At 40.1% G+C, this 27,818-nt stretch overlaps 1 protein-coding gene across 6 annotated transcripts in view; it reads right to left on the reverse strand.

The window, feature by feature from the left end:
* Positions 1–27,818, reverse strand: part of PCNX2 (pecanex 2) — a 343,895-nt gene that overhangs the window by 40,160 nt on the left and 275,917 nt on the right. For 5 of the 6 annotated variants that reach the window (XM_047430870.1, NM_014801.4, XM_047430871.1 and 2 more), the window contains one exon: positions 1,552–1,805. The exons of the other annotated variant lie outside the window; for it this stretch is intronic. In XM_047430870.1, the coding sequence (XP_047286826.1) occupies positions 1,552–1,805 (254 nt within the window). The remainder of the gene's footprint in view (positions 1–1,551; positions 1,806–27,818) is intronic. 6 annotated transcript variants of the gene reach the window in all.

Consider the following 27,818-nt stretch of genomic DNA (forward strand, 5'->3'; position numbering starts at 1 on the left):
AAATCTAACACAACTGGTATATTGAATTTGCTTAGAGTCTAGAAAGAGAAGATAGGCATAACTCCCTGGTATGCTTCCCAAATCTTCCCCCATTTACATTAGGTTGGACAAAACATGTATAGTTTTGTATGAAATTTGAATATAATGTTTTGCATCTCCAGCACACACAAAGACGGTGAGCACAAACGGCTAAATCTGTTGTAAACATGCTGCCACAGAAAAGGGTTTTGCAAACATTTTGTGTAGCAATCACCTAGGGGATGAGATCTAAGAGCTATTTATCCTTCTGACTTTCACAGCCTATCTTCTGCTTCCATGTAGCTTCAGCAGCTATTGTGGATTTCGGGAATCCCCATTACCCAGGCTGGAGTGCAGTGGTGCAATCACAGCTCACTGCAGCCTCAAACTCCTGGGCTCAGGCAAATCTCCTGCCTCAGCCTCCTGAGAAGCTGGAACCACAGGTATGAACCCCATATCTAGCTAATTTTTCAATTTTTTTGTAGAGATGGGGGGTCTTGCTATGTTGCCTAGGCTGGTCTTGAACTTCTGGGCTCAAACAATCCTCCTGCCTTGGCCTCCCAAAGCTCTGGGATTATAGGCGTGAACCACCATGTCTGGATTTATTCCAAATTTCTCAATGCCATTTGTTTGTTAGCTGGTTAAAACTTTAGGTGCCAAGTTATCTTTTCATTCTGTGTTTCTTATTTCTGCTGGACCACCTGTCTCGGCACGCTGGCAGAGGGCCTTGTGGCCTCCGACGGATGAGCTTCCTCTTTTTGAACAGCATTAAGAGGTGACGTTCCTGTGGTCCATCCAGGACTTCCACCATGCCAAGTCCCCCCATACTCCCAGAATAGGACCCACAGCGAAGATTTCCTCTGCCACACGGCTCTCGCCTGCCCCTTCCCCTTCAGAAAACACCTCAGCCCGGATGAACACTACACATCCTCAGTCAGGTGCCACACTTGTTTTCCAGGAGACTTACTCCAAACTGCCATGATTTCTGAGGTTGAATACAATTGGGCAGATGTAGGCACTGAGCAACTGAAAAAATATGTTATTAGTCTCCATGTGAGTTAGGGGGAAAGGCTGTCACAGCCAATTCTGACTGGATGGTTTAGCTACATTTTGAGTTCTCCTTATGAGCTTAAAATATAATTCTGATTCTAAAGTGGACACTGTGCAGAGCATCTAATTTGACCCTTATAACTCAAACATGGAGGCTTAGAAATATTTATAGGGTATTTAAATTTGTCCTCATCATCAGGACAAGCAAATAATGCTGTGGTAGAAGAGACAAAGAAGACCTAGATAAGAAAACAAACTGCTTATTGGTGCCTAAGCTTAGGATATGACCCAGGGCACAAATCTCAGGTTAAATCAAAGCCCTCTAGGATTTTTCCAAAAGCAATGGTTCCCCAGATGGCTGGGTTTCCAATTCGGAAGCTGAGGATGACAGGCTTCAAAATTTAGCTTTCGACAGAGCTCTTTCGGAGCTTCCTGTGCCATCCTAGCATTTCTGCCTTAGGTGTTTGGGAAACAGAGCAATACCTTGATGTAGTAGCGGATGAGGATCCTTCGGAGGTCAAACACCTGCAGCATGGTGGCCGCGTTGTTGTCCAGGATGCTGTAGCCCTCCAGGATGTACTGGGTCTGCGTGATTTCCCAGGTGAGCCAGCGGAGGTGAAAGGCAGCGTTGCAGGACAGCAGGTGAGGCAAGTGGCCTGGTTTGCAGCAGCAGCAGCCTCTGTCCTCCTCGTCGCCCTCCATGATGGCTTCTACCTCCCTCTGCTGGCAGTAGGTTCCTGGCCGAGCACAAACATGAAGGAAGTTTGAAGAGAAGGCATGCTAGAATGTTTGCTTCAACGGATTTCCCCATGCCTTCATCAGAGGGGAAGAGGCTGAAGGGAGTCGAGGAATCAGGAAATTTGTTTGTCCTCAAATAAGTCCCCCAAAGAAGTCACAATTCTCATAATCATGAACTCTTTTATTCACTCACATTCAGTCTGAGTCTCTGTAGAAAATATATTTAAACGATTTAAAAATTTTTATGGAGATATGAGCTAAATGTCAACACAGAAGAACATCATTTCAGTGGGAGGCAGTAGTTGACAAACAGGTTTTGAAAAAGGTAGTACATACTAGCTACTTGACTTTAGTCCATTTATTTAACTGGTCCAGGCTTGTTTCCTCATCTGTAAAACAGGCTATTGTAAGGATGAAATAAAATGGCATATGCAAAGTGATTAGTCACCACGCAAAAATGGTAGTTGTTCCTATTATTTTTACTAGATTGTGAGCTCCCTAAGGGCAGTGCCTGGCAGGTAGAAATTCAGTAAACACACAAACAAATAAATAAACAAACTGATGAGCTAGTGAATACCTTACTTTACTCACCAAATATTGAGTGCATCCAATGCACTGTGAATACAGCAATGAAACAAATATATAAAATCCCTGTCCTTGTATAGCTTATCAGTTCAGGTTAAAGAAGACAGACACAAAAAAATAATAATAAAGCAAAAAAGGTCTGGAATGACAGGGTGGGAATAGCTATTTTAAATAGGGGATCGGAGAAGGTCTCCCTGGGATGTCTGAGTAGAGACCTGAAGGAGGTCGGGGGGAACTCAGCGCAGATAACTGAGAGAAGGGTTTTCCAGGCAGACAGATGACTACGTCCAAGGCCTTGAGGTGGGAACATACTTATTATATGTTCCTAGAGCAGCACGAAAGTCTATAGTGGAGGGCACAAGTGGGAAAGTAGTAGATGAAGCAGAGAGGTAGCCAGGGGCAGATCCAACTTAGAATGAGTTAGAGGAACGGTTGGATGGCTTTAGCTTAAAAGAAACGTGGTCTGACTTATGTCTTAGGAGGACCACTCTGGCTTGCTGCCCAGAGAAAGGACTGTCGAGGGAACAAGAGTGGGAGCCAGGGCATCACTTGTGAAGCTGTTAGTGAACCCAGATGCAAGAGAATGATGACTTGGTCCTGGGTGGCTGGAGGAAGTGGTGAGAAATGATTAGATTCTGGATACATTTGAAAGCAGTCTGATGAGAATTGTTGATGAATTTCAACATGGGGTATTGAAAAGATGAGAAAAGAATGATGCTAAGGTTTCTGTCCTGAGCAGGATGAAGAATGAAATTACTATTTACAGAGGAGAGGAAGATTGCAGGAGGACCAGCCTTTGAGTAGGAGTGAAGGGAAGATCAGGGATTTACTTTTACATATGTTAAGTTTTAAGTGCCTAATATATCAAAATGGAGATGTCAGGGAGGCAGCTGGATTAAGGAATCTGAAGCTCTGGGGACAAGCCCTGGCTGGAGATTTATAAAATCTAGGAGAGTTATTAGCACGTAGGGGCTATTTCAAATCACCTATATGCTAATAAGAGAGTGTACAGAGAGTATGGAGAAGAGGTCTGAGAAGTAAACTCTGAGCATTCCGACATTTAAAGGTTGGACAGGTGAAGAGATCCCAATAAAGTGATAGAGCAGAAATGGCAAGTGAGTTAGAAAGAAAACCAAGTCCCAAAAGACAAGTGAAAAAAGAGTTTAAAGGAAGAGGGAACATCAGTTACATCAAATGATGCTTACAGGTCAAATTACATGAAGAATTAACTGTTAGATTTGGCAATATGGAGGTGTATGTTGATCTTTGCAAGACGGGTTGTGGTGGAATGGTGGGGGAGGGGTAGTCTCATGAGCGTGAATTCAAGAAATAACGGGAGGGGAAAAAGCAGAGACGGTGAATGTAGGCAACAATTTCTGGAAGTTTAAAAAATCTTTTTGACTTTATTATCTTTCTTGGCACCTTATTGCACAGGCTAGGATCTCCTGTACGCTGCTGAGCAGAAGTGGTGAAAATTGGCATCCTTGATTTTTCCAAAGAAGCATCACTTAGTTTCATTATTTTTCCTCCAATGTTTCTCTATTTTCTAGAGAAACCATAGACATCCAACTCTTATCTCTAAAATTTTCTTCCTTTTACTTGCTTTGGATTTATATTCATCAGTTTTTTCTAGTACGAGGTGAAAACTTACGTCAAGGGTCACTAACGTTTTTCTGTAAAGGGCCAGAGAGTAAATATTTTAAGCATTGTGGGCCACATGTGGTCTCTGTTGCAGCTGCCTCTCTTCCTCCTCCTGCTTCTCTTTCTCTTCCCCTTCCCCTCTTCCTTTTAAAAATGTAAAAGCCATTCTAAGCTCATGAACCCTAGTTTGCCAAACGCTGGCTTACATCTCGATTTTAAACCTTTCTTCTTTGCTAATATAAACTTTTACAGCTGCACATTTCTCTCTATGCATTGCTTTAGTTGCATCCCACACATTTTTTATATGCTGCGTTTTGTTTTCATTCAGTTCAGTTATTTTGTGATTAACTTAGTTATTCCTTTCTTGACTCCTGAGTTTAGAAGTGTGTTGCTTATTTTCCAAATATTTGGGAATTTTTATGATGTACATTTTTGTAAGTTTCGAGTTTAATTCCAGTGTTACTGGAGAATGAACACTTATTATTTCAGTCTCTTGAAATTTATTGAGAGCTATTTGATGGCTTAGCACATGGTGTATTTCGGTGACTGTTTCAAATGCTCTTGAAAACATCTGTATTCTGCTGTTGCTACATGAAGTGTTCTGTAAATGTCAATTAGTTTAAAATGGTTGACAGTATCATTCAAATATGCTAGATACTAATATTTTTGTGTGAATTTTCTATCACTTATTGAAGCTATAGTGTTAATGTGTTCAACTATAATTGTAGATTTTTCTGTTTTTACTTTTAATTCAGTCAGTTTTTGCTTCTTATAGTTCTGTTATCAGGTGTATGCACATTTAGGACTGTTATGTCTTCTTGATGAATTAACTCTTTGATTATTATGAAATATACTTCTTTAGTGTGGTGATACACCTCATCTTGAAGTCTGATATTAATAAAGCTAATCCAGGTTTCCTATAATTAGTGTTTGTAAGGAATGCAACTTTCTATCTTTTTATTTTTAAATAGCACAAAACAAATAGGTGTGAGGGTTCCTAAGACTCTCCAGATCTTTATAGTTAAAACATCTCTTGTAAACAGCATGTAGTTAGGACTTGCTTTTTTATCTAGTCTGATGATCTCCAATTTTTAATTATAGTGATTAATCCATTTACATGTAATGTGGTTATTTATAGGACTGGGTGAAAGTCTACTATTTTCCTATTTGTTTTTATTTATCCAACTTTTTAAATTTGTATTCTTTCCAGTCCTTTTTTTTTTTTTTTTTGAGATGGAGTCTCACTCTGTCGCCCATGCTGGAGTGCAATGGTGTGATCTCAGCTCACTGCAACCTCTGCTTCCCGGGTTCAAGCCATTCTCCTGCCTCAGCCTCCTGAGTAGCTGGGATTACAGGTGCCTGCCACCAGGTCCCGCTAATTTTTCATATTTTTAGTAGAGATGGGGTTTCACCATATTGGCCAGGCTGGTCTTGAACTCCTGACCTTGTGATCCACCCACCTTGGCCTCCCAAAGTGCTGGGGTTACAGGTGTGAGCCACCGTGCCTGGCCCAGTCATTATTTTTTAATTGAGCAACTTTTGGTATTTTATTTTTTATTCTCAATCAGCTTTTTAGCCATACCTCTTTTATTTTTTCAGTTTCTCTAAGGGTTATAATCTGTGTGCTTTATCTTATCACAATCTACTATGAATCAATTTCATATGAGTCCTCCAATGATATAAGACATTACAATGGAATATTTATCCTCTCATGTTATTTGTATTATTGTTGTCAAACGTTTTACTTCAATATGTAATTTAAACCCAAATATACATTCTTATAATTTTTTGCTTAAACAATCAATTCTAAAAGATTTTAAAAAGAAAAAAATCTTTGCTCACATATTTGCCATTTCTCACAATCTTCATTCTTTTGTGTAGAGTCGATTTTTCATCTAATATTGTTTTTTAGCCTGAAGAATGCCTTTTAAAGTTTCTTATAGTGCAGGTCAGTTGGTGATTATCTTAGCTTTTTTAATCTGAAAATATATCTTAATTTTGACTTTATTCTTGAAGAATATTTTTCCTAGATGTAGAATTATGAGTTGATAGTTTTTGTTTTTGATTTTTCTTTATGCACTTAAAAATATTATTCCATTGTTTTCTGGCTTGTATGATTTCTTTTGATAAGTCAGAGATAATTCACACTGTTGGTTCTCTCTATATAATGCAAATGTGTTTTTAAACTCTCTCATGCTCTTGGTAAGATGACGATTACAAATCTCACATGTGCTTATAATTTTTCTTTACCTTTAATTTTCAGAAATTTGATTATTACACATTTAGGTTTGGTTTTCTTTGTGTTTGTCTTGCTTGGGATGTGTTGAGGGCCTGGGATCTGTGGATCGATATTTTTCATCAGTTAAAAAAAATCTGGATAATATGTCTTCAGTTGCTTTTCCACCCCTATTTCACACTTCTCCATTTAGGACTTGAATTACACATATGTTAAAATACTTGATATTGTTTCACAAGACATTGGGTCTCTGTAAGTTTTCTTTAGTCTTTTCATTATTTGCATCAGACTGGATAGTCTCTACAGCCTTGAGTTCATGGATCTTTTCTGTTGTTGTTGTTGTTAAGCCCACTCACTGAATTTTCATTTCAGACATTGTATTTTTTTCAGTTCTAGAATTTTAAGTTTTTGGTGTACTTTTCCTCTCTATTAATATTCTCCATATGTTCATTCATTATGATCATTTTTCCTTTGAAATCCTAAACATAGTATTACCTGGTGGAAACTTTTTTCTATTAACTATAAAATCTTTGAGTGTGTTTGTATTTATAGTTTCATTTTTCTGGTTAAGAGTCACTTTTTTCTGCTTCTCTGCATATCTAGAAACTCTTGTTATATGCTAGATATCATTGATATTATAGTCCTGGCAGTGTGGACTTTTTGTCTTCCTTTTTAAAAGAGCCATGTTCTGTCAGGAAGTTAATTTATCTGCCCATCAGGTTGTCAGCTTGATCCTTTTAAAGCTTGTTTTAAATCTTTGGCTGGGAAGGTCCAGAGTAGTCCATATTCCAGGGGGATAATATCTCTACTCCTAAAGCCTGGTCTTTTGGGGGTCTCAACTAAATTCCCAAGATGTTCAGCAAGGTCTCCTCACTGGCTATTTGGAGCTTCTACATTTCTCAGCACTGCGTAGCCTACATAGTCTTTATTTATATCATGTCATTCCAGTTACCATTCTCTGTCAGGCTATGCCTATGCAAGAGCAGGTTAGTATCCATCTAATCACGAAAGGGGATCTCCATGCAGATTTCTGCAGCTCCTCTTTGCAATTCACTCCTGTCTGGTACTCTGACCTACAAAGTCCACATACTTCAGCAGCCCAGGACTCGGATTCTATCCCCCTAGTTCAATAAGACCACAGTACTTTGTTTGGGCTCCACCTTCCTATACTGTAAACAAGAAAGCACCTCTGGGCAGAAAGTGGAGGCAGTAATGAAGCTCATTTTGTGTATTTCCTTTCTCTCAATGATAAGGGCCCTGCACTGCCTGTTGTCCAATATCTGAAAAGTATTGATTAATGTAATTTTTCAGTTTTATAATTGTTTATGATAGTAAGAATATTTCAGTACTGGTTATTCACTCATGGCCAAAAGAATGTCTTTGAATCTTTCTACATGTCTTTGGAGCCTTAATTAAAACACAAAACATTTCGCTTCACCCACTCCCACCCCTATTCATTATTCACTTTTTCTGGGATCTCATATCATTATTCACAGTGTCTGGTAATTAGTAGGCACTAACAAAGTTGTTGATGCATTGATTGAATGGACAAATAAAACAGTTCTTATCCAGATCTCTGTCTGAACAGGCACCAATTGAGGAACTCCATAGCAGTATATTGTATTACCTTACATATGGTGGCAGATAAAGAAAGGCTATGTTTAGACCAAGCCTCTATATAGAACCCAGGAGTGAGATGACCATAATATGCCAGAGATTGAAAACTACAACCTTCAAATCGTAATGCACATTCAGAGCTATTAGGATAACAGTCTATGAAATAGGAGTCCAGGTCAGGAAGGGGAAAAGCCCAGCCGGCTGCATTCATAAAAAGGGAGACAGTTAAAGCCTGATCCCAAATCTTCGGATTCCATTTGTCTTTCTGCCAGACCTCCTTGCTTTGGCTCTTGGCTGAAAGCATTCTTTTTTTTTTTTTTTTTTAAACATTTCAAGGGTCTCTTAACTCATTCTCCAATATACAACTTTTCTTCCCTCTGGTGAAGATGTATAGAAATGCATACTGGACTATAAACAGTGAGGCATCCAGAGAGTAATGACCACCATAACCTGACTGCTCTGCACACTGGGACCCTTGGATTGCAAACCCTAGGCTCCAGTGGGGGTGGGGTCTCAGCCTGCCACAGTGACACATTAACACTGGCTTGCTGTACATTAATAATATAATTTAGGAAGAAATTCTCTTCCAATGGAGGAAATAAGACAGTTTTCTTTCTTTCTTTCTTTCTTTCTTTTTTTTGAGATAGAGTTTCACTCTTGTTGCCCAGGCTGGAGTGCAATGGCGCGATCTTGGCTTACCACAACCTCCGCCTCCCGGGTTCAAGCGATTTTCCTGCCTCAGCCTCCCAAGTAGCTGGGATTGCAGGCACGCGCCACCACACCTGGCTAATTTTGTATTTTTAGTAGAGACAGGGGTTTCTCCCTGTTGGTCATGCTGGTCTCAAACTCCCAATCTCAGGTGATCCACCCACCTCGGCCTCCCAAAGTGCTGGGATTACAGGTGTGAGCCACCGCACCCAGCCGACAGTTTTCAGAAATATATCACACAAAGAAAAAGCATAAAGAAGGATTTTCACTTGAAGAAATTAGCAAAACTGGTTAAACAGCAGACCTCAAAAATGTGAGTTTCATTCCAATTTTCCCCTTCCTTATTCTTCTATCCAGTTCTACCATTTATCACATTGAGCTGAAAGCCAGGGCTTTTTTTTTTTTCCCTTTTCATTAAACTGGGAGGGCTGATTGCATGAGTATGTGTGTGAGTCTGTGATCTGTGTATCCATGCACATGTGTGTGTCTGTGTATGTGAGAAGATGGCGAATTTGAATTTCTGACCATCTGAGTGAAATAGCACAGTAGACTATGAGGAACACACGGGTATCTCTAAACTGGTGAAAGGGCAGTTGAGGAAACAGTTTGCCATGAAGGATGGCTTAGACTTGACAGATACATCGTAGCTGCCAACAGTTGAAAAGCTTAGTTCAGGTGAGTCTTGGGTAATCTGCTCTTAGGAGTGAAAGAGTCACACTCAGGATCATATTAAAAAAGAATATGAAAATAATAAAACCCAGTAATTTTGGAAAATGCACTAATTGCGTTGTCCAAATGTAAATCAAGGCCCATATTCTCAGGAAGACTCAGAAGGTTCAAAGCATATTCCCTCCAAAGGAAATGCTGAAGGTCAACCCGCCCACACAGTGTGACCTTTCGAAGCCCCGGCAGAGATGAATGTCAAGCTGGCAAGGCTGTCTCTGTCTGGTATTTCCATTGAAACTGACTCTTGGCACCTTTAATTGTGGCTGTGTTTGCACTGTCACACCTTTGTCACACCTACCAATGCCAAGCCCAGCCAGACTTATTTATTCCCACCTAATTTCAAGAAGGAATAAACTTAATCTAAAAGGTATACATAGTATGAAAGCAAATGAAGAAATTTAAGTGCAAATGAGAGGTAAGAAAAATACGAACACAGAAACAATGTCAAGGGTCCTAATTGCATTCTAGGATACCCAGTACATTTACTAAAAGTGATCCACAGATTTCACTCCGGGCTTTCCAGAAGCCAATGTAGAAAGAAAACATAAATGGTTTCTTGTGTCTTTAAGGCAAAAACAAACTAATTCCTTGGAAGGATCATAGCTATTTCTGGCAAAGACACCAGAGAGATGATATCCCCAGGATCCTCATAAAGAGAACATTGTGCAATATGGTGAACAACATCCTTAATAACATTGCACAGTAAGTGCAAGCACAAGGTTTGCTGGGCTGTTTTAATATTTCACGGTGCAGGACGCTAGAATATGGTTGAAGTGCAATAAAGCAAAAGTATTTCTATAGGTAGTCAAAACAAGTCAGCCTTACATATGGGGCTCTCCAGAGGCCTTGCATCATCCAAGAGTAGATTCTAGAAACTCTTGAGGACTGGGAGAACTGGATACCTTTCAGGAAATCTTTGAGATGTATAATTTCTGCAATGGACTGAATGTTTGTGTCTCACCCAAATTAATGTATTGAAACCCTATCCTCCAAGGTGATGGTATTAGAAGGTGGGGCTGGCTGGGCGCAGTGGCTCACACCTGTAATCCCAGCACTTTGGGAGGCTGAGGCAGGTGGATCATGAGGTCAAGAGATCGAGACCATCCTGGCCAACATGGTGAAACTCCATCTCTACTAAAAATACAAAAATTAGCCGGGCGTGGTGGCGTGCACCTGTAGTATCAGCTTCTTGGGGGGCTGAGGCAGGAGAATTGCTTGAACCCGGGAGGCGGAGGTTGCAATGAGCCGAGATCGTGCCGCTGCCCTCCAGCCTGGTGACAGAGCGAGAATCCGTCCCAAAAACAAACAAACAAAGAAACAAGAAGTTGGGGCCTTTGGGAGGTGATTGGGTTATGAGGGTGCGGCCCTCATGAATGAGAGTAGTGCCCTCAGGAGAACAGACATGAGAGAACTTGCTCTCTCTCTGTTATGTGAGGACACTGCAGAAAGATGGCTGTCTGCAGACCAGGAAATGGGCCCTCACCAGACACTAGATCTGCTGGCACCTGATCTTGGGCTTCCCAGCCTCCAGAACTGTGAGAAATAAATGTTTGTTGTCTAAGCCGCCCAGTCTATGGTATAGTTGATGCAGCAGTCTGAACTAAGACAATTTATCTTCATCTAGTTTTGACAATTCTTAAGTATTGAGTGGCAGTGAATTTTAATATATTCTCTCTGAGAGGCACAGGATTGTAGCTAATTTGTGTGGCTGGTAGACACACCTGCCAAGATGGAGGCAGGGTTGGCATTTTCTTGGGAAAGTTGGAAACCGAAGAATGGTTGCCTGAACAGAAGGTCCAGCAACCAAAAATCAAACCAAAATATTCCCTTTTTTTGCATCCCAAAAGGCCTCATGAGAGGTACCTTCCTGGCTGGGAGGCCTGGGCCAGAGGACAGGATCCATGAAGAGTGTGAGAGTGGAAGGGAAAGCTAGAGTTAGATCAAACGGGAAACATTTGAACCTAATTCTGTAGGTAACAGGCAGGCAAAAGAGATTTTCAAGTCCCAGGGAAACATGAGGAAAGCTGTACTTAAGAAAATTCCCCTGAAGCCTCTGGGATTAAGGGGAACAGACCAGCGATGGGGAAACCAGCCACCCACAGTCTCATTTCAGGGACAAAGTGATAGGGACCAGAACTAAGGTACAGGCTGTTTACCAAGAGATAAGAGGAAACATGGAGATAATGGGACTTCAAAGGGACGTTAAACATGGTCCCCTGCAACAGAAAAGCTGCTCTGAAAGAAAAGGTTGGGATGATTTATAACCTTCCATTGAGAACATTGCCATTAAAGTCGAAACGCACAACACATTTTCAAGATTGGGCTTCTTGGTCCTTCAATTTCCCTTCTAGTAACTGATATGAGTACTTTGAGAAACAAACCGCAGTTTTTGTTCCCAATAATCAAATTGGATTCTACAAAAAGGAATCTAACTGGATTCATAAAAAAATCCAAAATTTCATCAATATGATTACATTTAAAACATTGTAAATGTTTAAAACTATGCTGAATATATATTTTAGCTGAGTTTTAAAAGGATCATTGCCTTCATTAGCCATTGCAGCATGCCAGGCACTGAGCTGGCGTTCTGCATATACCTAGCACTGAGGTGACCAAGGGGGATGTTAGAGAAGGGACAAAGCTCAAACCACCCACCCATAAAGCACAATCACGCTCTCACTCACAAAGTGGACATTCTTAGACATAGATAGAGCTTAGCCTGTGCTTTTCAAACTGCAGATGGGACTTATAGGCACAAACGTTGGGATACATATGTTGGATTATTAGAAAATGTATTTCCTTCTGTGGTCACATAAGGTTATTCCTGAATTGATCAGGGCTACAAAAAGGAGACCATCAGATATGGCCATTTCTGAGCTCTGAGCAGTTTACTTCCACAGCCCAGAGTGCGCATTACAGGCTGGGAACACAAGATGTGTGAGACAGGGCTCAGCCCCAGCGAGCTTCCTTGGTAGCCCCTTCTGATATCCTCCTGCATGTATAGTGGTAGAGATATTAACAGGAGGAGGGCCCCCATAACATTTTTCTTAAAGCTAGAATTCTAAATTTGTATTGCCTCTTGCCAACTGGTTACATCAAGGGCTGCTTTGTGACCAAATGAAATAATGTCAAAAAAAGACTTTAAAAAGTTTTTGAATGATTGTCATTTTCAAGAAGGTCACAGTGGGATTCTCACCACCCTCCCTCCCTGCCCCACAAACTTCTCCTGCAGCTTCCACGTCATGGCGGGGAACTTTCTCAGCTCCTTTTCTACCCACACTCATTTTCCGGGGACAGAATCCTAGAACATAAGCTTGAAGGAACATTCAGGTCATCTATTCCCAGCCACCTGCTCTTAGAGGACATCTCTGTATTTGTTAGACCTCACTATATTTAATTTGTGGAAAGAAAGAATTGTAAGAATTTTATATTTCAGGCTGGGCATGGTGGCTCATGCCTGTAATCCCAGCACTTTGGGAGGCCGAGGGGGTGGATCACCTGAGGTCAGGAGTTCAAGACCAGCCTGGCCAACATAGTGAAACCCCATCTCTACTAAAAATACAAAAATTAGCCAGGTGTGGTGGTGCACACCTGTAGTCCCAGCTATTTGGGAGGCTGAGGCAGGAGAATCGCTTGAACCCAGGAGGCAGAGGGTGCAGAGAGCCAAGATTGCAACACTGCACTCCAGCCTGGGCAACAGAGCAAGACTCCATCTCAAAAAAAAAAAAAAATTATATTTCAAGGAGCCTCCTTTTTCTTTAAGATTGCACAATAGAAATAAAATTCATGCAGAGATTTTCTAGGTCTTAAAAGATTTATTTTTCTATCTATTGGATTATAGTTGCAAACTTAAAATTTCTTACTCCAGTTTTAAATACTAGAATTTCTAAGAAATGAGCCCCTAGAGAGAGGTAAAAATGATTTTATTTACTCAACAAAGGAATTTAAGGGACAATCCTTCTCTCGACTGCTGTTTAATTCTGATTCTGATGAATAGGGCTTTCCCTGCGATAGCAAAGACTCACCTTCTGGAGGTTTCAGCTTCCCTGAAACCATCAGGGCCAGACACAGAAAGACTGAGTCTCTCTCTTTGGGAGACACTCTCCACTGTAGGAGCCATGACTACTGCCATCATTACCATCACTAAGAAGCTGTCCTGGACATTTCCTATTCCCTAAGTGTCACACATCCACTTGGTAATCAATCCAGTTTAGATTAATCCAATCTTAAAGACAGGGAAACAGAGTGCTAATAGTATAGTTACATGACTAAGGCCACAGAGAAGAACCAAAACAACGAATAGGATCGGCTTGTTGAACCACGGAATGGGTTCAGTTCTTTATTACCTTAGTGGCAACTTCTCCCCTAGTTCCAGTTTCCAGTCCTTCAGCAACACTGGACCTGTGTGTCTTTTTTATTTTATTTTATGTTTTGTAGAGACGGGGTCTGCCTCTGTCACCCAAGGTGGAGTGCACAGGTGCAATCATAGCTCACTGTCACTCAAACTCCTGGGTTAAAGTCATTCTCCCACCTCAGCCTCTGGAGTAGCTGGGACCTCAGGCAGGCACAACCACACCTACCTGATTGATTTTCTTTCTTTCTTTCTTTCTTTTTTAGAGATGGGGTTTCACTATGTTGCCCAGGCTGGTCTTGTACACCTGGCCTCATATAATCCTCCCGGGATTACAGACATGCACCACCATGCCTGGCCTTGTGTGTCTTTTAAATGTGATACTGGGAACCTAGAAGTGTATTGGCCCAGTATGCAATAGACAAAAAAGACAAAAGTAGGTTCGGATAATTTATAACTTGTTTGATTTTGTGAGCCTAGCACAGATTTTATATTGCAACAGTTTTACATCCCAAGGAGCCTCACATTCTTTAAGATCTGCCCACAGGAATAAAGTTTTTTCTGTGACCTGTCTGGCAAGCCAGATTTTAAATGTGTTATAATACCTTTAAATGAAGCAGCATTGGTTTTTCACAGAATTTTTATTTCACAACACTATGTATTTATGTGACACTTATCAATTTAAAAAGGAATGCTTCAGAGTATCTCATTTGATGTACACATCAACCTGGTTATGCAGATGTAGTTTCCAGGGCACTGATTCTCAAAAGAGACTATTCTTGTGGAAGGGTCTGGTCTTTTGAATTTAAAATCAGTATTCTTCTTTTATCACACACTGTCTAATGAGGCTTGACAAATTACAAGCCAAAGTTTCCTGAATTTATTTATTTTCAACCAGCTCATGGGAGAAAATGAAATTAACCAAATCACTAAGTATACATTGTAACTCACATTGGGCAGTTTAGAAGCATAAGAATAAGAAATGTTTAAATAGATGATAGTTATCGCTGTGAGTGATATGATTTCCCCCTACTACTGCCCCGTTTAAAGATGTGAAAACTAATGCACTCAACTCTACTCAGAAGAGTCCTTAGAATAAATATTCTAATTAAAGAATATTTAATTTGCAGTTGTATTACCTTCTTTTTCTCCCATGAATTTTTGTTTGAGTGCTGAATGTTAAGATATGCAGATCCTGTTCACGTTCAGCAAGAAGCCCTTTTTCTTCCCAGACTTGCTATCTAGACAAACATGGCTTCGTCTCTCCTATTAACAGGTCACACAATATGCAATGAAGAAAAATACGTGGTCAGGGATTCTGAATGGAGAACTCATTATTGTATGGGTAAGTTTGGAACCAAGGGATTTGAAAGATTACTCAATTTGTAAGACCTAAGAACTAGGCATTTGCTAATGACCTGAATGTTGTCACAGAGCAGAGAAAATTCTAGATAACTCCAAGATTAGTGGGAAAGCTATTGCTCTGCATGGATTAGCCAGCTATGATAAAGGTTTGGGTTGGATTTGCTTTAGATAAGATTCAGTTACACAGATATTTTTAAATGTCCCCACAGGCCAGTGATTATGGGGTGTTAGCCAAACTATGAGATGGCTGATAACATTTCACACAGACAGAAACATAAATCCTATTTTTTGATATTTTCCAGACCTGGTGGTAATGTGTAGCTACATCCTGATAATTGTGCCTTTTGCTTTCAATGTTCATTCTATAAGAGCCATCTAGGTTTCATGACTTTAATTAAGTCTTGCAGAATGAACATTGAAAGCAAAATTGCTAAGACAGCCAATAATTCAAACAGCTGAGCTGCTAGAAGTGACTTACAAAGGTGCTACCATAATAGCCTTTAAGAATGAATTCTGGTAAAACCAACTTTTATTTGTTTAACTTCAAGAACCAAAAATACTTTCTGAAAATGTTTAATCACTTTTTTTCTTTCATATTCTCTCCTTATTTAACCCACCTTCCTCCCTCTGTTCCTTCCCTCTCAAGCAGGGAGTCTACGGATAGGCCGTGGACCTTGGGGTCAGTCACATCTAGGTGTTCATGCTCCTCTACCACTGGTGACTGTGTGGCCATGGGCACCTTACTTAAATTCATTCACTCAGATTTCTCATGTCGACAGTCGGGTAATAGCACCTACTTACTTTATAGAGCTGTTATAAGCAATATTTTGATAATATAAGTAAAGAAACTAATATGGTACCTGGCATGTAATTGGTGTTCAAGAAACTTGCAACTGTCTACCTTCTAATCCAACCAATATTTACTGGGCATCCTACCATGAGCCAGTCAATGCACTGGGGAGAGTTACATGAATAAGCCATGAAGCCCCAGGCTTTGAAAGGCTCACAGTCTAATAGAGTCTGACTTAGTTAATTTTTCATCGTCTGCAGTAATAAAAAAACCTCAATGCATAAACTTTGTAAGGCTATTGAAAACAAACTGGCTTTGGTTTTCAAATTATTATTTATTGTGTTGTTATCAAGAAAACATGTATTGATTGCCAACCATGTGGTCACATACCTGACACTAAGGATAAGGCCCTGACCTCAGAGATTCATGATGAACACAAACACTCAAACACAAATATAACTTTCATCACAACTTTATTTTAAATAAAAGAACAAAGTAATCTCTATTATTTTTTGTTTGAACTATTAGATGAGCAAAAACTGTAAATATTTGATTGATGGAAATGTAGAAAATATATACAAATGCCGTATCACGTATCACAAGGAAATACTGAGAAATGAGTAAGTTGAGGAAAGGTAGTTACATAAATAATTAAAAAGGCAAATGCCCATATGTCACCATGCATTTACGGTATCATTGTTTTTCTCCTGCTTTTCAAAGACTTGTCTTATTAGATGACTCTTTTCTATTTCCTAAGACCTACCTCCTCTAAGACGATTTCTGGAAAACAGATCTCACCATGAGAAAAATGTAGCAGCCTTACACTAATAAGGATTGTGCACACATACCTCCATGCCTAGATCAACTTCGTTTCAGTTGCCTCAAAGCTTTCCACGCACATGACCCAGCTTTAGATTACAGGATTGTCTTCATCCTCCCATGAGAGAATGCTGCTTTACCGCATGCAGTTCACGTCATTTGCTATGGGAAGCCCAGGATTCCCTGCAGTCTAATTTCCTTGCCTCTCTATAAATTACATTTTCTGATTCCAACTTAACTGTCCCACCCATCCAAATCTCACAATCCTTTCACACATGTCTCCCACCACTTGGTCAGCACTGGAAAACAGCCTCGTGTTTCTCATTGATGCTCTCAGACCATTCTCTCACCCTAACCCCATGCTCCATCTCATTGCCATCTCCTATGGCCTCTCTGGTCATTCCCACTCCTTCTGTAAAGATTGTGGCTCTAGCTCAGTCACTCTCTCCACCACGCCTCCTGCCGTCACTCTTGGGGATGTCAATATACATAGAGATGCTCTTTCCAACATCCTGGTGCCCGGTCCAATCTCTACCCCTGCAATGATCTCTACCCCTGCCATGATCTCATCTTCCACTGAACCTCAGCCAGTCATTCCCACAGTGATAACCTTAGACTTTGATTATCAAAAAATTGCTTTCCCTCTAAAGATATCAGTTTGAAATATCCCATTTTCCAGTAACCACTTCATTTTTCCAGCTCATTTCCTCTAATCGTTCAACTTCAACAATCTTTGCACCCTTCCCAGATCCACGATTCATTAGTCCTGTTTCTTCCCTCTTTCACACCCTCACTTCCCTTCATCCTCAGCTTACACTCCATGGCCAAGTATTATAATCATTGTCACAACCTTACATATTAAATACATTCTCAGCTTCTTGACACTCACTTGGTTCAACCCAGTCTTGGTTAACTCTAAGTCTGCCCTTCCATGCCTACATCCACAATGTTGAATGTGGCTTAGAGAAAAACCACACAGTAATTAATCTTTACAGATCTCTCTTTAAAATAATGATCACTAATCTCAAGTGAGTGTTTCATGCTGCCCAGCATTCATACTACAGGTTGAACATCCCAAATTCAAAAATCCAAAATCTTAAATGCTCCAAAATCCGAAACCTTTTGAGCACTGATGTGATGCCGCAAGTGAAAAATTCCACACCTGACCTCTTGTGATGGGTCACAGTCAAAATGCGGGTGCACAGCCTACAGTTTCTTCAGTGTCCCCAAGGAGAAAACAACCCTCTCGGCCATTTATAAAAGTCACCCAGCAGAAGGCCTCCTCCTCCCTACAGGACCCACTTCTTGGTCTGTCAACTGCTTCTGATGTTTCTTCCCACCTAAATAAATAAAATTCAGTGCACACTAACCTTTTAATAAAACCCAGCACTCTGGGTGGAGACTGGGAGCCTGCAGCTGTCTGCTGCTGCTCTTGCCTAACAGCAGATCCAGGTATTCTGGTGATGACACTGAATGGCACAGTTACCCCAGACACAGTATTTATTCACTATATTAATGGTGTGTCACGTTTTTTACTGTTAAGTCCTTATGTGTGAATAATTATAAGAAAATAAATGGTTATCAGTAGCACATAAATTCAGAGTCAGGAATGATGGTGATTCCAAACAACCACAGATTGCCCACATAGGTGGCCGAGATAGTGACACCTTTATTGTCTGATGCTTCATTGTACACAAGTTTTGTTTCCTGCACAGAATTATTAAAAATATTGCATAAAATTGCCTTCATGCTATGGATATAGGGTTTATAAGAAACATAGATGCATTTTGTGTTTAGACTTGGGTCCCGTCCCCAAGATATTTCATTATGTATAGGCAAATATTCCAAATCAAAAAAATTCAAAATCCAAAACACTTCTGGTCCCAAGTATTTCAAATAAAGAATATTCAACTTGTATATTTCCCTACGCCCTTCATTCTTCCCCATTCCATCTCTGTAACATCTGCCCCTACCTGCATCTGTGCCATATTTTCTCTCTTCTCTTCCACTTCTGTGGATGAACAACCATGGGTTTCAACCTGCCAGCCTCATCCCAGCCCTTTGGATTCCCTCACTTGCCACTGTAGCAAGCCCTCCTCTTTCCTTTGCCTGAAATTCCTCCATTCTGCTTCTTCTCTGCAGTGGTCCTTCTGAAGCCCAATCCTATCCCCAGCTGATAGACTAATACTAAGGCACACTGGCCTTTCTTGTTCTAGCAGGGATCCAGTAGTTGCTCAACTTCTGTGACACCAGCCATGGCCTCTAGCCATGGTATATCTCCCAACCTGGGAGCTATATCAATTATATCCAATCTCCTCCCTGGGAGGGAATTATCTTCACACTGTAACAGGGAGAAGTTCAACTTTCCCCTAAATATGTCCTGTGGTGGAATTCTTTTTTATCCCATGAACTGATGGACTGTCAAAGCTGGGAAGAAACTTAGGAATCACACTAAGGCTCTAAGGAAGAAATCAAGGTTCTGACAGGCCAAGTCCCTAGTGATGCTCTGTATATTCTGATAGAAAGTGAGGAGTTTTCCTAAGTGAAAAAAGATATGGAGTTTTCAAGGGGCTATGCAAGTGACAAAATGAATTATACCCCAGTTATTTCATGTTTAATGAACTAAATAAACACTATGATACAAATTCCAAACAAATACCTGAAAGGAGGAATGAAAGAAGAAGGTGAAATCGTGAGGTGGAAGGGGCAGTCCTGGTTAAGAGACAGCCATGCGGGTTTGACTAGCTCTACCTCTAACTTGCTGTAAGCCTCAGGAAAGCCTATTCATTTCTCTGGGTTTACTTTTCTCACAAGAAACTCCCTCCAACGCCTTCTGCTTTCTGTTCCTATTCTTGTTCCTTCACCTCTTCAGACAGTATTTTCAAGTTGCCTGGCTCCTGCTGTTGGCAGCATGGTGATTCCTCATTCATTTTTCTCCTCTTCTCATAGAAATAAACTAACCCATCAGCCTAGGTCACTTGACTGACTAAAGAAGAGCAGAAATGGATAATCAACCCTCACTTTCCCATCTTTCTGTATCTACCTACACAAATGATGGTTAAATGGGATTTACGATCCAATAGATTCCATTTCTTTTGAAAACCCTTGAACTTGATGGCCCCCATTGGCCTTCTAACATGCATTATCTATTAATTTGGCTTAGATTTTTAAAAAATTATTATTATACTTTAAGTTGTAGGGTACATGTGCACAATGTGCAGGTTAGTTACATACTTATGCATGTGCCATGCTGGTGTGCTGCACCCATTAACTCGTCATTTAGCATTAGGTATATCTCCTAAAGCTATCCCTCCTCCCTCCCCCCACCCCACAACAGTCCCCAGAGTGTGATGTTCCCCTTCCTGTGTCCATGTGTTCTCATTGTTCAATTCCCACCTATGAGTGAGAATATGCGGTGTTTGGTTTTTTGTTCTTGCGATAGTTTACTGAGAATGATGATTTCCCAATTTCATCCATGTCCCTACAAAGGACACGAACTCATCATTTTTTATGGCTGCATAGTATTCCATGGTGTATATGTGTCACATTTTCTTAATCCAGTCTATCATTGTTGGACATTTGGGTTGGTTCCAAGTCTTTGCTATTGTGAATAGTGCCACAACAAACATATGTGTGCATGTGTCTTTATAGCAGCATGATTTATAGTCCTTTGGGTATATACCCAGTAATGGGATGGCTGGGTCAAATGGTATTTCTAGTTCTAGATCCCTGAGGAATCCCCACACTGACTTCCACAAGGGTTGAACTAGTTTACAGTCCCACCAACAGTGTAAAAGTGTTCCTATTTCTCCACATCCTCTCCAGCACCTGTTGTTTCCTGACTTTTTAATGATTGCCATTCTAACTGGTGTGAGACGGTATCTCATTGTGGTTTTGATTTGCATTTCTCTGATGGCCAGTGATGGTGAGCATTTTTTCATGTGTTTTTTGGCTGCATAAATGTCTTCTTTTGAGAAGCGTCTGTTCATGTCCTTCGCCCACTTTTTGATGGGATTGTTTGTTTTTTTCTTGTAAATTTGTTTGAGTTCATTGTAGATTCTGGATATTAGCCCTTTGTCAGATGAGTAGGTTGCAAAAATTTTCTCCCATTTTGTAGGTTGCCTGTTCACGCTGATGGTAGTTTCTTTTGCTGTGCAGAAGCTCTTTAGTTTAATTAGATCCCATTTATCAATTTTGGCTTTTGTTGTAATTTGGCTTAGATTTAAAGCCAATGATTAATCTTTCCACTCTTGAATGTTTTCCTGACAGGCTCCCCGTTTAGGTAGATGCAAGTAATACTCATGAACTCAAGAGCAGTGGGGGCACTACAATCCTGTTTTCTTACGTTAACAAGAAAATAGTTTATTTCTATTCTGGAATATATGAGCCAAAAGAATAGAATAGAAAAATGGTGCTTCCTCATTTGTATTCTTTCTTTTTTTTTTTTGAGACGGAGTTTCACTCTTGTCGCCCAGGCTGGGGTGCAATGGCGTGATCTTGGCTCACTGCAACCTCCACTTCTCAGATTCAAGTGATTCTCCTGCCTCAACCTCCCGAGTAGCTGTGATTACAGGTGCATGCCACCACGCCCAGCTGCTTTTTGTATTTTTAGTAGAGATGGGGTTTCACCATGTTGGCCAGGCTGGTCTTGGACTCCTGACCTCAGGTGATCCACCCGCCTCAGCCTCCCAAAGTGCTAGGATTACAGGCATGAGCCACCACACCCGTCCTATTTGTATTCTTGATATAGAATTTGTATCAATCATTCATTATGGTACCAGACAACAGAAATAGGATGTGCCATGGACCTTGATCATTCTTTTGGGCTATCCAAGATCTACGTCCCTATTCTAGGTTTGGGCAATTTTGTACTGCACCAGAACTACCCCAGTTATTTTTTGTTCACCAAAGCCTTTTACTTTTTCTCCTGGGTACTCAGCTAGATAGCATTTCCTAGCCTCTTTTGTAGTCATGTCAATCGTGGACAGCAGAATGTACAAGGAAATGATGTATCCCAATCATTGGGAAGATTGTTAGGCCAAGCTCATAACAATCTTCCATGCAATCTTCCACTTTCTGCCAGCTTGGTATTGAAGTCCAAGGTGGTCTTGAAAGCAATGTGCTAGGAAATACGTGGAGCTTCTATTTGCCTGAATCCTTGGTAGTGCAGAATGAAACCATCCCCTTCCCCACTACCTCCACTCACTGACTGGACTCTACATGAATGTGTAACAGACGTCTGTTGCATCAGCCACTGAAATTTGGGGCCTAATAGTTACAGCAGCTAGCATTACTTCAATTAATCTACCCATTTTGTGACTCTCAGGGATAGGCAGTCACCACCTCCCATTATAGAAACTAAAGAGTCAGACACTTTCTTTCCCAGGCTCCCTTCCATCTAGAGCACACACGTGAAATCTTGGCTTTGTTAATCTGTTAAACCCACATCAGACATTGACTAATGAGCTGGAGACACAAAGAAGCAGGGTCATGTGGAATGCATTCTGGAAGGGAGGTGTTCATCCAGTTTCTGGGGGCAGCTGCGGTGGCAGTAGCAGTGTCCAGTGTCCAGGCTCATGGTATCAATGACATGATGCCAGTGTCTGGATTCAACAGCCAAGAAGTGACTCCTTCACAGCTGTGGTGTGATTTTAGACTTGGCCCTTGTCCAATAGCTGCAAAGCCTGCTTTGCTAGCCTTCTCAGAAGTCTGTGCCCTTTGCAACATCTTCCAACAAATCCTTCTTCTACTTAAGTTAGCTAGATTTGATTTTTGTAGCTCACAACCAAGAACTCTTATTGACACAAATGCATCCCTTTCAGGGAGAGGAAGACAGGATACTTTCTTGGTCCACAGCCTTGGGGAGCTTGCCTCCTCTCTGGAGTGTATTTCTCATTTTCTGAGAAAAAGTCAGAATCTATCCTGTGAACATTTCATGTTTCCACTGATGGCTTCAGTAGACTTCAGGAGGGAGAACAAGCCCATCTATATTTTGACTGCCTCAGGTTGGGGTGAAGTAGATTAAATTTGACCAAAATAAAGCCATTATTTTGGAAAACAGGAAACTGAAAAGGAAAATGCTGAAAAGAAAACTCTAAAAAATATCCATGGAGGTAAAATAAAACAGACCTTCCCTAGGAATACTGTACTATATGTTGCAAAGAGACATAAAACAGAACAGCCATTTTAGGTTAACTGGATTCTTCCCACAATAAAAGCATAATTTAGGTTTTGTCAAGCTATATGCTCTTTTAAAGTCCCTGTGTCCCCAACTACAACTGAACTGGGTTTAAAAAAAGGTATTGTTTAAGAGTGAGTGGTATTGGGGCAAGGGAACTATCATTTTTTTCTCAAGACGTTGCTATGGTGCCAAAGTGACCCTTATAGCCAGGTTATATTCCTACTGTGGCTGGCAGGAAGAAGGGATATCAATGAGCAATAGCAGAGATCCTCCTGGGCAGTCTAGTCTCACATAATCTCTGCCTCTATCTTGGGGATGGCTACATCTGTCAGTTCTAAGCCTCCTTCTGTATTTCATCTGATGAAATTCAAGGAGTCTGGTATGTTGTTGTAATATTGACAAATAACGCCTCCCTGTAATCATACCACTGTGCAAATGAGGCAGAACCACTTTTTCTATCACCAGAATCTGAGCTGTCCTTGGGAATGGCTTTTACCACCAGAATGTGGCAGAAATGACATGGTGCCTGTCCAGGAAGCTGGGCTGTAAGAATCCTTGAAGTGTTCAGATTTCCCCTTTTCAAACCCGAACACCACCTGGCTGTGAAGATGCCTAGTCTGGCCTCTGGGAGACTGAGTGGTACCATGGAGGAGATACAAGGCTCCAAGTTTGGCAGCCAGCCTCTAGACCTCCCAGCCTGGCTCATCTACCTGCTGAATGAAACTGCTCAAGTGGCCCAGGTGACAGCAGCAGCAGAACCACTGGCCAACCCATGCAACAGTGGGAAATAATACAGCATTGCTATCCTAAACCACGAAGTTCTGTGGTGGCTGGTTATGCCTCAAGATATAATTGATCTAAGATGAGACCAGAACATTTATTGTGCTAGATTAAGAAGCGCTGCTTGTGATGAGGAGCTGACAGACAGAAAAAGCACTGCAAAATTCTAAGATCTCATTAACTTGGACCCTTTAAACTCAAAGATTGGTTAAGTTTGCAAAAAGAAGCTAAAAATGGCACAGAACTTGTGACAGAAACTACAACTCATAATTCAACTAGGTTAGCTCTAAAAGATTTTACCTTAAATTCCAGAAAAAACTGAAAAGCTTTCATCAAAAAAGGAGCAGGGGTCACTGTTCTTATATCAGATAAAACAGACTTTAAACCAACAACAGTAAAACAGGACAAGGAAGGGTATTACATAATGATAAAGTGTTCAATTCAACAAGACTTAACTATCCTAAATATATATGCACCCAACATTGGAGCACCCAGATTCATAAAACAAGTACTTATAGAGCTATGAAAAGACTAAGACAGCCACACAATACACAATTATGGTGGAGGACTTCAACACCCCATTGGCAGCATTAGACAGATCATCGAGGCGGAAAACTAACAAAGAAATTCTGGACTTAAATTTGACACTTGACCAACTGGACCTAATAGAAATCTATAGAATACTCCACCCATCAACCACAGAATATACATTCCTCATCTGTAAATGGAACATACTGCAAGATCAACCACATGCTCAGCCATAAAGCAAGTCTCAATAAATTTAAAAAAAATGGAAATAATATCATCCATATTCTTGGACCACAGTGGGATAAAAATAGAAATCAATACCAAGAAGAACTCTTAAAACCACATACTTACATAGAAATTAAACAACTTGTTCCTGAATGACTTTTGGGTAAACAACAAAATTAAGGCAAAAATGAAAAAAAAAATCCTTTTAAATGAATAAAAACAGGCTGCACATGGTGGCTCCCACCTGGAATCCCAGCACTTTGGGAGGCCAAGGCAGGCGGATCACTTGAGGTCAGGAGTTCGAGACCAGCCTGGCCAACATGGTGAAACCCCATCTCTACTAAAAATATAAAAAATAGCTGAGTGTGGTGGCACACACCTATAAACCCAGCTACTTGGGAGGCTGAGGCAGGAGAATCACTTGAGCCTGGGAGGCAGATGTTGCAGTGAGCCAAGATTGTGCCACTGCACTCAGCCTGGCCAACAGAGTGAGACTCTGTCTTATAAACAAATAAAAACAGAGACACAACATACCAAAATTTCTGGGATGTGGTAAAAGAAGTGTTAACAGAAAAGTTCATAGTGCTAAATGCCTACCTCTAAAAGTTAGAAATATCTCAATTTAATGATGTAACATCACACCTAAAGGAACTAGAAAAACAATAACAATCTAACCCCAAAGCTAGCAGAAGAAAGAACTGAAATCAGAGCAGAACTGAACAAAATTGAGACCCCAAAATCCATACAAAGAGTCAACAAAACCAAAAGTTGATTTGAAAGGATAAAGAAGATTGATAGACCACTAACTAGAATAACAAAGAAAAAGAGAGATGATCCAAATAAGCACAATCAATCAAAAATGACAAAGATGACATTACAATTGATCCTAAAAGAATACAAAAGATCTTCAGAGACTATTATGAATATCTCTATGCATACAAACTAGAATATCTAGATGAAATGGCTAAACTCCTGGAAACACACACTCTTCCAAGATTGAATCAGGAAGAAATTAAAACCCTAAACAGACCAATATTGAGTTCTGAAATTGAATATGTAATAAAAAACTTACCAGAGGGATTCACAACTGAATTCTATCAGACATAAGAAGAAGAGCTAGTACCAATTCTACTGAAACTATACCAAAAAACTGAGGAGGAGGGACTCCTCCCTAATGCATTCTATGAAGCTAGCATCACCCTGATACCAAAATCTGGCAGAAACACAACAAAAAAAGAAAATGACAGGCCAATATCCCTGATGAATATAGATACAAAAATCTTCAGCAAACTACTAGTAAACCAAATTAGGCAGCACATCAGAGTTAATTCACTATGATCAAGTCAGCTTCATTCCTAGGATGCAAGGTTGGGTCAACATATACAAGTCAATATATGTGATTCATCACATAAACAGAATTAAAAACAAAAACCACATGATCATATCACTAGACATGAAAAAAACCTTTCAATAAAATTCAACATCCTTTCATGGTAAAGACCCTCAAGAAATGAAGGATAGAAAGAATACACCTCAAAATAATAAGACTCATCTATGACAAACAAATGGCTGGAAGAATTCCCCTTGAAACCAGAACAAGACAAGGATGCCCACTCTTATCACTCCTATTCAACATAGTACTGGAAGTCCTAGCCAGAGCAGCCAATCCAGAGAAATAAATAAAAGACATCCAAATAGAAAAAGAAGTCAAAATATCTCTCTTCACTGATCATATGATTGTATAGTCAGAGAACCCTTAAAGACTCTGCCAAAAGCCTTCCGGAATTGATAAAATAACTTCAGGAAAGTTTCAGGATACAAAATCAATGTACAAAACTTAGTAGCATTCCTACACACTAGTAACATTCAAGCTGAGAGCCAAATAAAAAACACAATCTCATTTACAATAGACACACACACACACACACACACACAAATACCTAAGAATACATCTAACCAAAAAGGTAAAAGATCTCTACAAAGAGAACTACAAAAACACTGTTGAAAAATATTATGGATGACACAAACAAATGGGAAAACATTCCTTGCTCATGGATTGGAAGAATCAACATAGGAGTTGAACAATGGGAACACATGGACACAGGGAGGGGAACATCACACACTGGGGCCTGTCATGGGGTGGGGGTCTAGGGGAGGGATAGCATTAGGAGAAATACCTAATGTAGATGATGGGTTGATGGGTGCAGCAAACCATCATGGCACGTGTATATCTATGTAACAAACCTGCATGTTCTGCACATGTATCCCAGAAATTAAAGTATAATAAAAAAAATGACCATACTGCCCAAAGCAGTCTATAGACTCTATTCCCATCAAACTACCAATGTCATTTTTCACAGAGCTAGAAAAAAACTATTCTAAAATCCATACTGAATAAAAAAAAAAAGCCCAAGTAGCAAAAGCAATCCTAAACAAAAGGAACAAATCCAGAGGCATCAATTACCCAACTTCAAACTATACTCTAAGCCTATAGTAACCAAAACAGCATGGTAGTGGTACAAAAACAGACACATAGACCAATGGAACAGAATAGCAAACCCGGAAATAAAAAGTCACACACCTATAGCCATCTGATCTTTGACAAAGTCAACAAAAATAAGCAATGGGGAAAGGGCTCCCTATTCAATAAATGGTGCTGGGATAGCTGGCTAGCCATGTGCAGAAGAATGAAACAGGACCCCTACCTTTCACCATATACAAAAATTAACCCAAGATTGATTAAAGATTTAAATGTAAGACCTCAAACTATAGGAGGAAAACCTAGAAAACATTATTCTGGACATGGGCCTTAGGAAAGAATTTATGACTAAGTCTTCAAAAGCAATTGCAAAAAAACAAAAATGGGCAAATGAGACCTAATTAAACTAAAGAGCTTCTGCACAGCAAAAGAAACTATCAATAGAATAAAAGACAACCTACAGAATGGGAGATAATATTCCCAAACTATGTAACTGACAAAGGTCTAATATCCAGAATGTATAAGGGAATTAAACAATCAAACAAGCAAAAAATAAATAACCCCATTAAAAAATGGGTAAAAGATATGAAGAGATACTTCTCAAAAGAAGACATACAAGTGGCCAACTAACACATGAAAAAAATGCTCAACATCACTAATCATCAGAGAAATGAAAATCAAAACCACAATGAGATACCACCTCACATGAATCAGAATAGCTATTATTAAAAAGTAAACAAAAAACACAAAACACAAAACAATAGATGCTGGTGAGGCTGCAGAGAAAAGGGAACATTTATACACTGTTGATGGGAATGTAAATTAGTCTAGCCACTGTGGAAAGCAGTTTGGAGATTTCTCAAAGCACTTTAAATCAGAACTACCTTTCAACTCAGCAATCCCATTACCGGGTATATATACTCAAATAAAATAAATCGTTATACCAAACAGACACATGCACTCATATGTTCACTGCAGCAC

The sequence above is a fragment of the Homo sapiens genome, chromosome 1, assembly GCF_000001405.40.
Source record: "Homo sapiens chromosome 1, GRCh38.p14 Primary Assembly".
NCBI classification, from domain to species: Eukaryota; Metazoa; Chordata; class Mammalia; order Primates; family Hominidae; genus Homo; species Homo sapiens.